The following is a 15,774-nucleotide window of genomic DNA, read 5'->3' as shown; positions in this document are numbered from 1 at the left end:
ATGAGGAAAACTAAAGTTTAGGTTTCTGAACCTTTGAATGAAACCTAGGCATTGCTCTTAGAAAAAGAATGAGATGAAGAAGCGAGAAAATATTCCATGTGCAATCAAAATACCTTGTGTTACTCTTTCCTGCTTCAACTGCAAGGGCGTGGTGTGCAGTAATTGTCTCGAAGGCCACATGTCAATGGGGGACCAGCGTGCTCAGGCAGTGTCTTCCCATAGACTGTCCTCGTGATGTCACCCCTCCCGGCATCCCCAGTGCTCACCTGGTCACCAACATGGTCTGGATTACTTGTCTTGGTCAGCCACTGTGCTGAGTGCAAGAAGGAACCCTCTCCTACCAGCAATCGATTCTTTTTTTAATTTTTATTTTTTAAGATGGAGTCTCGCTCTGTCGCCCAGGCTGGAGTGCAGTGGCAAGATCTCGGCTCACTGCAACCTCTGTCTCCAGGGTTCAAGTGGTTCTCCTTCCTTAGCCTCCCGAGTGGCTGGGATTACAGGCATGAGCAGCCATGCCTGGCTAATTTTTGTATTTTTTAGTAGAAATGGGATTTCGCCATATTGGCCAGACTAGTCTCGAACTCCTGACCTCACGTGATCCGCCCACCTCGGCGTCCCAAAATGCTGAGATTACAGGCGTGAGCCACCGTGCCTGGCCTGATTCTTTTACAGAGATCTTCCCAGTCTGTTTCTCACAAAGTCTCCAGGTGAGCACTCTGTGAACTCACGAGTTCAGATATCACAGTCTTCCTCTTCAGAGAGACTTGGCCCAAGCTGCCAAAGGGGTTGACTGAGAAGGCAGCTCGAGTGTGGCCCCACATGTAGTACCCACCAGCACCCCTTACTGCAAATGTCCCATTCAGTTTTCTCCCATCAGAAGAAGTGCCTCTCCTGAGTGCTGCCCCTGAAGCCTGGAGCTTCAGGGGTGGCCCTCACCTCAGAGTCTAGGTCCTGCTACAGGGCTTGACTCATGTTCCCCCATTGTCTTTTTGTTCACGCTCTTCAGGGCTTTATGAAAAGCAGAAATTCCAGCAGCCTCTCCCTGCAGGTCTTAAGTTCAGATGCGAATCCCGACACTGACAGTTGCTAGCTGCAAGATTTGGGAAAAGTCACTTTAAAACAAATAAACAACTTGTAAAGTCTTGATTTCTTTGTCTGTTCTGTGAGGATGCAGACAACTATCTGAAAATTCACTTGAATGGAAAACTTTGACTCATTTTTTTCCAGTGGCCCCTTACAGGACAAAGAGATAAAGAACAAGTTAGACTCACTTGGGAGGTTTCTTTTATAAATGAACTTTTAGAACCCACCTGTCCCATTTGTACAGATTCAGCCTGGTTTCAGGTGCCTCCAGCTCTTAGAGTTGTGGAGAGTTTGAGGTTGATGGAAATGCTTTCACAGAGGATTTTTGTAATCTTCACATAATCCTGAGAAGTAGGTAGGTTTGCGTCTTATTCTCACTCTTCAGAGGAGGAAACAGATTTAGAGAATTTTGAATTTTTTTTAAAAAGCAATTTGCCTAGAATCTCCCAGCTACTAAGTAGAGCCAATCCTGAAACCCACGTCTTCTGGCTCTAATCCTCAGTCCTTCTCCCAGGGTCCACAGCACTGAGGTCACCGATGACCCAAATGATAATCTAAATAATGACTCTGAGGCTGGACAAGATGCCAGATCTTCAAAGAGAGAGTCTATTTGATCATTCCATTGCACCAGCAAAGTGGGTTTGAAATCTGTAGAGAGATTTCTTTTTCCCCAATAATAGCAGATGAAACAATACTGGTTAAAGAACATTCCATTTCCTAAGCATTCCCATTTTAAGTCTATGTCCCAGTCATTAACATGGCCATACATAGATTCACCATTTGAAGGAAGAAATATGTAGAAAAGCTGTCACAGAAACTTAAAACAGCCTATAGCAGGAAATGAGGAAAAAACACCATATATTGTAATCCTGTTTCTGTCTCCAAGGAGCAAACTCAAAAACAGACACCTATGGCTTTAAGAGAAACAGTTATACTGGGAGAGTGTTACACGTGCGAAGGAAGAGAATGTTTTTCATGCCTTGGTTCAGGGGATTCCCGACAGCCTGGGTCTGCTTCCAACAGCCCCCAGCATTCCATGTGTGTGCTATCTGGTATGTGTTTATTATTGGGTATGAACAATTTAGGGAGGAAAGCACTGGTTCCCTCCAGGGGACCTTTGTACCTTACAACGGCACCACCCCTTCACCTCTGGTGGGGGGAAGGTCATCCAGGCATTCACGGCCTTCCCGCCTCTACCCTTATTCTTCCTTAATCCCCACTTCTTCCTCTCTGGCATCTCCATTTGTTCCTAAATATTTTTCTGTTTTCCCTGCTTCTGAAGAAAAGCTTGGACAAAGGGACCCTAAGGAAGACACACTGAAACTTTTCCTAAATCAGGCACCATCACTGTGGGCTCTCTTCTTTTCCCTTAGAGCTAAGACATGGATTGTGAGATAGACATGGTCTAACTCCTCCTCGGTCTGGTGAACTCTAACGGTATAAAATCAGTCCAGATAGTGAACAGGTGGTTTGGCTCCTCTAAGGAGCTTCAGTTTGGTAGCATTTCACCTGGGCTTCTCAAGCTTGCATATTACCTAGAGCACTACACCTGAGAACTAGAGGCCCTGGGAGGTTCGTCTATTTTTTTTTTTTTTTGGATAGGACTCTTGCTATATTGCCTAAGCTGGTTTCGAACTCCTGGCCTCAAGCTATCCTCCTGCCTCAGCCTCCTTAGGAGCTGAGATTACAGGCAGAAGTTCATCTTACCTCATCTCTCAGTGTGGTCCAGATCTGTGGGGTGGTTTTCCTTAGTCATGCTTATTACTGTGTTATCTTAAAGATCAGGAGTCATACCTTACTTGCCAAATCCAATTTCCTCCGCCCATTTTTCATCTTCCTTGGTATCTTGTGGTAGGTGACCCTGTTGGGAAGACCCTATCCTGGTTCTCCCCCTTCCTCTCAGTGTGATGCTTCAATCTCCTTGGCAGTTCCTCTTCTTTCCTACCTCTGACTATGGATGCGACCCTAAATTTTGCTCTTGATCTTCTTGCCTTCTCTCCCCTCACATTATCCTTTGGTAAATTTACCAACCACTGCTTTATATATCACCTTCATATGAATGATTCCTGAATCTTTATCTCAAGTCCCATGGTTTTCCATGACAACAATATCCAAGTCCGTATGATTCCACTGAAAATGTGAGAGGTGAAAAAAATATTAGAGGAGGATATCAGAGTGACAGTTTAATAGCTGAGTTCATATAATTGAATCGTGGTGGAGAGCTTACTAATGTGCCCTAACCTTCCTTCCCCTTCCTTTTCTTCTATCACCTCATGTCTTTTCACCAGCCAAACTGCTCTTCTGTAAGCTGCTCCTTCCTCCTGACCCCATGCCCACAATTGTTCACTTTGTTTCCTTCCTGAAATGCACACTCCTCCTCCCCTTGCCTTTATCTCTCAAAACCCTACCCTAATTTAGTGCACATGAAATACTGGTGTCTCTCTTCTAGTTCCTTAAAAAGAAAAGTAGAGAGAAGCACCGTTAGTCAAAGGGGCACCAGGATAGCCAAGAGGGTGGGACTCTAATGGGTCAGCATTCTCAGGGGTCTCAGTGGAACCTGCCCATAGATTTTTCTTTTCTTTCTTTCTTTTTTTTTTTTTTTTGAGATGGAGTCTTGCTCTTCTCACCCAGGCTGGAGTGCATTGGTGTGATCTCAGCTCACTGCAACCTCCACCTCCCAGGTTCAAGCGATTCTCCTGCCTCAGCCTCCCGAGTAGCTGGGATTACAGGCACCCACCACCATGCCTGGCTAATTTTTTTGTATTTTTAGTAGAGACAGGGTCTCACCATGTTGGCCAGCTGGTCTCAAACTCCTGACCTCAGGTGATCCACCCACCTTGGTCTCCCAAAGTGCTGGGATTACAGGCGTGAGCCAACACACCCAGCCCCTGCCCATAGATTTAAGGAGAAAAAGGCAAAGAATCTGCCCCCACCCATGCCTTCTTTCCATGACCTACCTCTCCACAATCAATATTTAATAAAATCCAAAATATTTTTAGCTGACCATATGTCAAAAGTTAAGTATTATGTAGGAGGAAATTCAATGAAATCTTTAAACCATTTGTTCAAAAAAAAACCACTCCAAAACAAGTCCAAATGTTTGTTAGTAATTTAAGAGGCATAGCAGATTTTGGCCCTGTTAAAATTCCTTACACAATGACTTATTTTAGGCATTATTACAACTTTTGGTTTAAAGGACAACTATTTTTATGGACATTATGAATTATATGCTGTCTCTTACCATTTATTCTATTTGCCCCCCGACTTTTTCTACCCTGCCCACTCATATGATTGGAATAGTCATGTGGTTTTGCAATTTTCTTTTGCTCTGGTCAAATTTTGGTTAGAATTTAATATCAAATGTAAGTATGCTGGAAATATTTTAATATTTTTTTCTAATTTTGTATTTTTTTCTATTATTTAAATGTCTTGAAGAAAAAAATGAGAAAGTGTGCTGGTGAATAGCATTGCATGGATTCTAATAAATTCTCCACAAATATCTCTTTTAAATTGATTATTAATCATCAGGGATACTGGACAAAGATGCTAGTGGCACATGGCGCTCTATTTTTAGGTCTCCTAAAACTAATCCTTTGATTAGTTGACTAAGCTGTTTTTATTAGTTGAGCAGAAAAATCCACATTTAGTGGAGATTTAAATACTTGCATTTAACTTTTTACACAGTGGCTTATAAAACCATCGTGACATCAGTAAAATTACACAGTCCCCAAACTCAAGTCCCAGTGATACAATGTCTGGTCATGAGAATGAGGCCACACTTCTGAGCTTGATACTGAAGCAAATCAATTATAGTCATGCTGCCCCCAACCCAGTGGCCAAGCGGTGGGGCAGGGAATTGGGACACTCAAGCCATGAGTCTGTGTTCCATGGCACCATGCTGCCCCAAGACCACCAGCCATCTGCCTAGCTGGCAGATTTTATAAGAGACCAAACTTACTCTCATTGCTAGTGAAACAATCCCACAATTATATGGTCCTGAGAGTCTGTCAGTCAGTTATCACATCTCTGCATATAAACAATGGATTATTAGGACAATTTAATAAGGCATTAGCACACTTGAAATCCTGATTCTCATTCTTTTCTTGTGAATGAAAGCATGTTCTGTATCCAAACTTTAAGTAGGGACCCCTCCCGCACACTCTAATTATGGGTCATCAACCTTTCAAAAGTGGAGTGTCAAGTGTCTGACCCTTATTTTAAGTGAGATGATGTATGGGAAGTGCCTGGCCACAAGCATATCATAGAGACCTGGAAAATGGCAACACTCATTCCTGTGATTAATTCTAAGGGTTCCTATTGACTCCTCTGAGGTTCTGCAGATGGATGTTGTGGGAGTCCTTATGCCACCAAACATCGACCAACCCATTTTCCTCTGGGCCTTGTACTTCTCCCTCATTGCCTTGTCACAATTTTAAGGCTATCTCTGATTCTTGGGCAATTCCAAGGTCAGCACTGCCAGGAAGTCACAGTGTAGGCCTACTCCCTTAAATCAGCCTCCTTTGCTAAACCGTGAGCTCCATTCAGGGCTGCCCCGTTGTTGGCCGAGTTCCTCTTCTTATTTCCTGGGGCCTAGGACAGTCCTAGCATTAGTATACAGTACCTTGGCTCCTCATCCAGCCCACATCTTCTCAACCCTCTGATTGCTGCTAGAAACAAAAGCAGTTCTCATGAATTTAAGGTTACTTGATTTATCCTCTTCTAGGTCATATAAGGTACTTACTTCACTGTGGGACAGTGATTTGGCTAAGACTGAGTTTCTCTCCCACACCGTACCTCATGGGAGACACTGCAGGGCCTGTGCACTCAAAAAACACGCCCTTTCCTCACAAGGGACAGTCAAGCTGCTTAGGTAGTCACAGAATTTTCTGGAAAGAGGAAGTTCTATAAATGACCATCTCATTTTACAGGGTTCAGTAAACATACTGCAAACACTAATAGCTATTAGTTAATGTCCTCAGATGCATTACATAGTCCGGGGTTATTTTCACTCCTCTTATTTTAAAGTAATAAAGAGTTTCTAGGATAATTTTAATTGACTTTTCTATTTTTCATCTTTACCTAACCACAGACAAAAGGGAGCCAACAGTTCCTGTATAAAACTTTTCATTGCCAAATACCATTGGGTCTTTCTGATTGTGCAGTGCACACCCATTGTTAATTACCCTGATTGTTATCCCTAATGAGTGAGGCTGGTTCTGAAGCTTGGGAAATCCCCATTTTCAAGACAGACAGGAAATCACAGACTGGGCTTTGATTGACCTGGAGATTTCTTCTCACCTTCCTGGCACCCTCCCTTACATTTAGATGCACCCAACCTCCATGTGGGCATAAGTGACAGTAGGAGAGCTTCAGTGAAAGTGAGAAGCTGTTTTCCCTGCAATCATTTGGAAAATATAGAATGTGGAAGTGGAAAATGATTTAGAGTTCTATTATTTCATCCATCTTCTTTACTCTGGGTTTCTTCTTCACTTCTAAATTTTCTTTAAATTTTTTTAAATTTTTCATGTTTGTGGGTACATAGTAGGTGTTTACATTTATGCGATACAAGAGATGTTTTGATACAGGCATGGAATGTGGGATAAGCACATCATAGGCAATGGGGCATCCATCCCCTCATGCGTTTATCCTTTGACTTACAAACAATCCAATTATACTCTTTAAGTTATTTTAAAATGCACAATTGTTATTATTGACTATGATTACCCTGTTGTGCTATCAAATAGTAGGTCTTACTTATTCTATTTCATTTTGCCAGTAAAGAAAATGTAGCCCAGGGTGGCTAAGTGATGAGGCTAAACAAGGACCAGGATCCAGAAGGATAAGCTGGGAGCTGGAGTTCTCCAGACAAAGCCCAAGCAAGGGTCCCTCTGCCACCGAGTTCTACTGTGCAACTCCAAGCTTATGTGAGGCACAATCTGTGGGGAGAAATAATAGTTAATAATTCTTTTGTATACTTTGACTGGAAGCTTCTGAACCTCTAAGACATATTTTAAAAGTAGAAATAAAGAGAGGAAAAGAGATAAGTACTTAATTTAGATGTTAGATACAGCTTCGTAGCCATACCGTAATTCTTCTTGATTTTATTTAGTTAAATGATGACCAAATTGCCATCATGGGTGATTTTTAAGAGGGGTTGAATGACCTAATTGGCCTGGTTTTTTATAACAGCCTGATTCCCCCTGACTCCCTATGTTTTGACAAAACTCATACACAGTTATAGATCAAAAGGCAGACAACATGAAATCAGGAAGTGTTAAGGGTGCTACACTGAGAATCTCTTGTAAAGGGATAATTGAGGACCTGCTTCCAAGCTGAACTCCTGACCCCAGGGGCTAGAACATCAAGGACAGAGATAATCTCAATCTCGGGTGTTTGAGCAATGGTCGACCCTGCTGGGAGAAATGGATCCTTATCTAAGCACCCATGAGCATGCGATCATCCTGGCAATGATTCAGAATATCAACCAACTGGCATGCCTCTTACAAATGTGCCCTTCAGAAAAGGGTTCTTTTTTTATGCTTAAGATTTTATCGTTTTCCAACATCTCAGCATTCCTTCAAAATTAACCTTCTCCTTCTCTTTATTTATTATTGACATTAATATCAACCACACCAGTTATCAATGTCAAAGTTGTTAATTTTGCTAATATTAATTTAAGCCATATTCAGTACTCTCATTAAACCAATATTGGTTATAAATAATGTCCCGTCTAAATATCATGTGTGGTTGTGTTTGAAACAGGAGACCTTGGTTAAAATATCAGCTGTGTGTCCTTGGGAATAACTCTTCAGTTTTCAGAGTCTCATTGCAAAATGAGAATAATGACACCTATTCCATGAGGCTTTTGTTTCTTAATGATGCTACAGATAGTGTGTTCATTGTACAAAACAATTTTTGAAGAGCAATGTATCTTATATTTTAAAAGAAACAGAGGCATTGCCAGCAGGCACTGTGCCAATTAAAGTCACAAATAATTTCATTAGAATTAGTCATTTGAGAAATTTGCACTTTACTGATATTTTAAATTAGAGTTTATAATAATAAAAATTAAGAATTTTTTTCTTTTGAAAAATCTCAACCAGTAAAGAAGTTTTAAACATCTGACAAACTTCATAAGGCTTTTGAGGTAATCAAATGAAACAATATACTTATTTTTTAGGTGGCTAGATAGATGTTCATGCATAAAATTTCAAATAATCCCCAAAGTTTTGAATTCTCAATTCTTAGGATAATACTCTACTTTGGCCTCTTTCATGAAAATTTACTAAGGTTTTACTAGAATCATTATCAAGATTTTTTCCAAGAGGAGATGCTACCCCGTAAAATATTTCACAATTATACTTAGATGCTACCTGAGTAGATCAAATAAAGACCTGTAGAAGAATTACCCTTTCTTCAAATGTTATCAGTGGGAACAGCTATGAACAAAAAATTTTAGCAAGTGCTAAAAGAGAATACATCTTCAGACCTTTTCTTTATAAGAGGATCTGTCTGAAATCTTTGAGAAATGGTCAGAAAAAAGCCGGACATTCAGACTGTTGTTATTTAAAAACTTCTGCACATGTATCCCAGAACTTAAAGTATATTTAAAAAAACTCTATCAGAAAATCATAAATGTGTCATTCCTATAGCACTTAAGTTTTGCCTCCAAAAGGATCAAACAGATCTGTTACAGAGAGTCATGAGCAACTTATGAATCTTTGAACATATGCGTTTAATGGAGAAGGTGGGATACCATTCTTGGATATACAGTGATGCTATTTAATAAATCAATGGATTTTACAAAGTAGGCACAGGACACTTTCCGGTTTCAACTTGTGGAGGTCAAGATCTCCACTGAATTCGGTTATAGAACCTGATATACCAAGAGCACTTTTCACAGCTTGCTTCAATGTGACTGCTTGGTTTACCTAGCATCTTCTACCACCTGGGTCATGGGCTATGTCTAGATAACCAACCCCTACCACAGCTGAATGGCATGGATGTAGGTACACTCAGAGTCTGATGGATATTCTGGCCTCCCTTAGGGGAGAAGGAAGAATATCGGTCAACTTGTTGAGAAATTTTTTACCAGATTTGAAGAACAATGAGAGTACCCCAACCCACCCACATCCAAACAGAGTATATATCAATTACAGAATAAATCAGGACTACATCTCAGTCCTCCAAGCCTGCTAGTCAGTTCTCAGTTTCCTACCCTTAAAAAAAGACAAAATGGATGGGGAAAAAATGAGAAGGCTGATTCTAAAACTGTCAAGGGAGTGTAAAGAAACTCCAAAATCATAGTACAATTTCTTTTGAAAATTAGTGAGCATATGATACATACAATACTGTGTAAAGAGGCCTTACATATGCTTGCTGGCTCTTCTTATCTCTAGTGAGAATTCTGTTTTGCAATAAGAGAAACTCAAGTGCAAGAGACAAACATGTTCAAGGTCATATAGTACTGAATACATGATGCAAGTTGCTGGGAAGGCATTCCAGTGATGGTGACATTTCCAGTTATTTCTGTGTTATGCGTAACTCTTTTCTCCAGGCCTCAGTAGCTCGGGAGGTAAATGGAGACACATTACATAGGATTGCCAGATAAAATACAGAACATCCAGTTATATTTGAATTTCAGAGAAACAACAAGTACTTTTTTAGTATAAGTATACTCATAGTAAAGTAAGTAGGACATGCTTATATTACAAAATTACTTGTTGTTTCTCTGCAATTCAAATTTAACTAGATGTTCTCTATTTTTACTTGCTAAATTTGACAACTCTACATTAACAACTGTATTTCCCTGATTCTGTTTTCATCTGTTATTAAAGAATCTCTAATCTCTCTTAAGAATCTTTCCTGTCCATGGGAAGACTGAGATATCTTCCCACTGACTTTACTGATACTTTAAATTACAGTTTATAATAATAAAAATAAAGAATTTTTTTCTTTTGAAAAATCTCAACCTGTAAAGAAGTTTTAAACATCTGACACACTTCATAAGGCTTTTGAGGTAATCAAATGAAACAATATATTTATTTTTTAGGTGGCTAGATAGATGTTCATGCATAAAATTTCAAATAATCCCCAAAGTTTTGAATTCTCAATTCTTAGGATAATACTCTACTTTGGCCTCTTTCATGAAAATTTACTAAGGTTTTACTAGAATCATTATCAGGATTTTTTCCAAGGGTGCACACAAACATCACTTATTAGCAGCTTCAATTTCTTCTCTCCTGCTTTGGCTTTTGCTTCTTGAGACCATGTCTTCTGGTGAATCTTCTGATACCCGGGAGGATCCATGAATGTACCCTCATGATGCATTATTTTCCTTTGAAGCTGCTCCAGTTGCATTGCTCCAGTGCCAAACCGGGGACTCAGGGCTGGTGGCTTTTGATTATCAAGGGCTTTCTTCAATATGTGACATAGTAAGTGACAGCAAGAGCTTTGGTGTCAGAGAGATGAGAAATCTGGACCTGGTTTCATCACCTTCTAGCTGTGTAACCTTAGGCAGCTTTCTTCATCTCAATAGGCATCAGTTTCTCATGGTAAAACAAGATACCACCTACAGCTATATCTACTTTAAATTATTATTCAGGAATTATTATTACTATTTATAATTATTATTTGAGGATTAAATCAGATAATGCATAAAGATACTTAGTACAGCATCTAGCATCATGTAACTTTAAGTATTAAAGATAAATTATCTTGAAGAAGTAATTTAAAAGCACATAGATGTAAGATTAGTTTAATAAATAACAGTACGTTCACACAAAGGAGTTTTTTAAATGGAGTTTAAAAATTTAAAATGATCTCTGTAAACTTATATGGAATTATTTCTAAGATATATTGGTAAATTGGGGGAAAAAGCAAGTACCAAAAAGAGTATATATTTTATAGTGCCTTTTGCATGATAAATGAAGGGAAATAAGAGGCAGAACTTCTGCAATGGTGGAGTAAGGACCCCTGAAAACCCTCTTCCCCTAAGAGGAAACAAGAAAAATTATCCAGGGCACAGCCAAGATGGCCGACTAGAAGCAGCTAGGGTGCATGGTTCTCACAGAGAGGAATGAAAGGGGCGAGTAAATGCAGCACCTTCAACTGAAACATCCAGGTACTTGCATTGGAACTAATAAAGGAAACAACTTAAAGAGAACGGAGAAAAGCAAGGCAGGATGATGGCCCACCTGGGAGTGACACGGAGGCAAGGGAACCTCCCCTGCCCAGGGAAGTGGCGAGTGAATGTGCCACCCTGGGAAACCATGCTCCTCCCACGGATCTTTGCAACCCTCAGGTCAGGAGATCCCCTCAGAAGCCACTCCACCAGGGCCTTCAGTCCGGCACAGAGAGCTATGTGGAGTCTCACAGAGCAGCCACTGAGGCATATGTGGAGACCTGGAGCTTTCGATACTCCGGCTCCCGGCTTCCCAGCAAAAGTAACTGCAACTCTAGCAAAGCGGGAGAATAGACCCCCGTACATAACCCTAAGAAAGAGGCTGAATCCAGGGAGTGGAGCAGTCACTTCCATTGCACCTCACAGGATAAGACCCACTGGCTTGGAATTTCAGCCACCAGCAGCAGTGCTGCGCCTCCCTGGGACAGAGGTCCCTGGGGGTGGGGCGGGGGGGAGCACCATCTTTACTGTTTGGGCGACTCAGCCATTCCACCCTACGAACTTTGGAGAGTCCAAACTGATGGAGGGAGGAAGAGATCCCCCAGCACAGCACAGCTGCTCTACCCAAACTTGACCCCACTGCATTTTTAAGCGGGTCCTGGATCTGTTCCTCCTCACTGGGCTTGACCTCCCAACTGGGGCCTCCAGCCACCTCCACTAGTCTTCTCCAGCTGACAGACATTTGAATTCTCCCTGAGACAGAACTCCCAGAGGGACAGGTGGGCTGCCATCTTTGCTGTTTGGGTGACTTAGCCGTTCCAGCCTAAAGGCTTTGGAAAACCCAAGTCGACCAGGGCAGAAGCAGTACCCCAGCACAACACAGCTGCTCTACAGAAGCTTCTTTAATTGGATCCCTGATCCCTTTTCTCCTCACTGGGTGGAACCTCCCAACCAGGGCCTCCAGCCACCCCTGCTGGTGTTCTCTGGCTAACAGAAATTTGAATTCTCCCTGGGACAGAGCTCCCAGCGGGAGGGGCAGGCTGCCAACTTTGCTGTTTGGGCAACTCAGCCATTCCACCCTGCAGGCTTTGGAGTGTCCAAACTGATGGAAGGAGGAAGGGATCCCCCAGCACAGCACAGATGCTCAACGAAAGCATGGCCAGACTGCTTCTTTAAGTGGGACCCTGATCCCGTTCCTCCTGACTGATTGGGCAAGACCTCCCAACCAGGGTCTCCAGCCACCATGTACAGGTGTGTTCGGACCAGCAACAGGTCCGTACCTCCCTGGGTTGGAGCTCCCAAAGGAAGGGGCAGGCTGCCATCTTTGCTGTTTCACAGCCTTCACTGGTGATGCCTCCAGGTACTGGAAAATCCGAGGTGACTAGGGACTAGAGTGGACCCCCAGCAAACCACAACAGCCCTATGGAAAGGTGGCCAGACTGTTAAAAGAAAAAAACGCTCCATCCAAGGGTCAGCAACCTCAAAGATTGAAGGTAAATAAGCCCGCACAAATTTGAAAAAGAAGCAGTGCAAGAATGCTGAAAACACAAAAAGTCAGCATGCCCTCTTTTCTCTAGAGGACAGCATCACCTCTCCAGCAAGGGTTCAGAAGCAGGATGAGGCTGAGATGGCTGAAATGACAGAAGTAGAATTCAGAATATGGATATGATGAAATTGCCAAGAGTAATTGCAACAACAGCAAAAGTTGACAAATGGGATCTAATTAAACTAAAGAGCTTCTGCACAGCAAAAGAAACTATCATCAGAGTGAACAGGCAACCTACAGAGTGGGAGAAAATTTTTTCAACCTATCCATCTGACAAAGGCCTAATATGCAGAATCTACAAGGAACTTAAACAAATTTACAAGAAAGAAAAATCAATCTCATTAAAAAGTGGGCAATCTCATTACTGGGTATATAGTCAAAAGAAAATAAATTGTTCTACCAAAGACACATGCACTCGTGTGTTCATTACAGCATTATTCACAATAGTGAAGACATGAAATAAACCCAGGTGCCCATCAGTGATGGATTGGATAAAGAAAATATGGTGCAATCAAAAAACTCATCCACCACAATGAAGTAGGCTTCATCTCTGGGATGCAAGGTTGATTCAACATATGCATATCAATAAATGTGATTCATCACATAAACGGAACTAAAAACAAAAACCACATGATTATCTTAATAGATGAAGAAAAGATTTTTTATAAAATTCAACATTCATTTATGTTTAAAACTCCCAATAAGCTGGATATTGAAAAAATATACCTCAAAATAATAAGAGCCATCTATGACAAACCCACAGCCGACACCATACTAAATGGGCAAAAGCCGGAAGCATTCCCCTTGAAAACAGGCAAAAGACAAGGATGCCCTCTCTCACCACTCCTATTCAACATAGTACTGGAAGAGGAGGTCAAGCTATCCCTGTTTGCAGATGACATGATCTTATATCTAGAAAACCTCATTGTCTCAGCCCCAAAACTTCTGAAGCTGATAAACAACTTCAGCAAAGTCTCAGGATACAAAATCAATATGCAAAAATCACTAGCATTCCTATACACCGACAACCATCAAGCCAAGAGCCAAATCAGGAATGAACCCCCATTCACAATTGCCACAAAAAGATTAATATACCTAGGAATATGGCTGATTGGGGAGGCGAAAGATCTCTATATGGAGAACTCCAAACCTCTGTTCAAAGAAATCAGAGATGACACGAACAAAGAAAACCTTTCCATGCTCATGGATAGGAAGAATCAATATCAGTAAAATGGCCATACTGCCCAAAGCAATTTATACATTCAACACTATTTTCATTAAACTACCATTGACATTCTTCACAGAACAAGTAAAGACTATTTTAAAACTCATGTGGAACCAAAAAAGAGCCTCAATAGCCAAGGCAATCCTAACCAAAAAGAACAAAGCTAGAGGCATTACACTACCTGACTTCAAACTATGCTACAGGGCTATAGTAACAAAAACAGCAGGCACTTGTACAAGAACAGACACATAGACCAGTGGAACAGAATAGAGACCCCAGAAATAAGACTGCACACCTAAAATGATCTGATCTTCAACAAACCTGACAAAAACAAGCAATGGGGAAAGGATTCCCTATTGCATAAATGGTGCTGGAATATCTGGCTAGCCATATGCAGAAGACTGAAACTGGACCTCTTCCTTACACCATATACAAAAATTAACTCAAGATGGATTAAAGACATAAATGTAAAACCCCAAAATTATAAAAACCCTGTAAGACAACTTAGGCAATACCATTCAGGGCATAGGCATGGGGAAAGATTTCATGACAAAAACACCAAAAACAATTGCAACAAAAGCTAAAATTGATAAATGAGATCTAATTAAACTAAAGAACTTCTGCATATCAAAATAAACTATCAACAAAGTAAACACACAACCTACAGAATGGGAGAAAATTTTTGCAAACTATGCATTCAACAAAGGTCTAATATCCAGTATCTATAAGGAACTTAAACAAATTTACAACAAACAAACAAGCTCATTAAAAAGTGGGCAAAGGACATGAACAAACACTTTTCAAAAGAATACATACATGTGGCCAAAATAATTAGAAAAAAAGCTTAACACCACTGATCATTAGAGAAATGCAAATCAAAACCACAATGAGATACCATCTCATGCCAGTCAGAATGGCAATTATTACAAAGTCAAGAAACAACAGATGCTGGCAAGGCTGTGGAGAAATAGGAACACTTTTACATTATTGGTGGAAATGTAAATGAGTTCAACCATTGCGGAAGACAGTGTGGCAATTCCTCAAAGACCTAGAACCAGGAATACCATTTGACCCAGTAATCCCATTACTGGGTATATACCCAAAGGAATAGAAATCATTCTGTTATAAAGACACATGAACACACATATTCATTGCAGCACTATTCGCAATAGCAAAGACATGGAATCAACCTAAATGCTCATCTATGATAGACTGAACAAAGACAGTGTGGTACATATACACTATGGAATATAATGCAACTATAAAAAAGACTGAGATCATGTCCTTTGTGGGGACATGGATAAAACTTGTGGCCATTATCCTCAGCAAACTGACACAGGAACAGAAAACCAAATACTGCACGTTTTCACTTATAAGTGGAAGCTAAATGATGAGAACACATGGACACATAGAGGTGAACAACACACACTGGTGCCTTTCAGAGGTTGGAGGGTGGAAGGAGGGAGGGGATCAGATAAACAACTAGTGGGTACTAGGCCTAATACCTGGGCGATGAAATAATCTGTACAACAAACCCCCATGACATGAGTTTACCTATGTATTATCTATGAAATAAACCTGGACTTGTACCTCTGAACTTAAAATAAAAGTTCTAAAAAAAGAAACATAAAAAATTGTTGAAATCAATGTTTTCAGAACTCTGGAAATTAAGCAAAGTCTTAATTTTTTTAAAAGGCTGAATTAAGCAAAGTCTTGTTTTTTTAAAAGGCTGAATCTCAGTAAAAACAGCAAGAATTGTGGCATTTTAACCTGCTGTAGTCCTAACTCCCTCTCCTC

General features: G+C 40.7%; 1 long non-coding RNA gene across 1 annotated transcript in view; it reads right to left on the bottom strand.

Annotated features, from left to right (window-relative positions):
- LOC124904265 (uncharacterized) overlaps positions 1 to 144 on the bottom strand; it is a 56,143-nt gene extending 55,999 nt beyond the window's left edge. Inside the window, exon 1 of the long non-coding RNA XR_007066310.1 lies at positions 114 to 144. This is a non-coding gene — a long non-coding RNA (uncharacterized LOC124904265). The remainder of the gene's footprint in view (positions 1 to 113) is intronic.
- Between the last annotated feature and the right edge of the window lie 15,630 nt (positions 145 to 15,774).

Source organism: Homo sapiens, chromosome 18, assembly GCF_000001405.40.
Source record: "Homo sapiens chromosome 18, GRCh38.p14 Primary Assembly".
Classification (NCBI taxonomy): Eukaryota; Metazoa; Chordata; class Mammalia; order Primates; family Hominidae; genus Homo; species Homo sapiens.
Note: the sequence above shows the minus strand (reverse complement) of the source record. Positions and strands in the feature narration are given on the sequence as shown.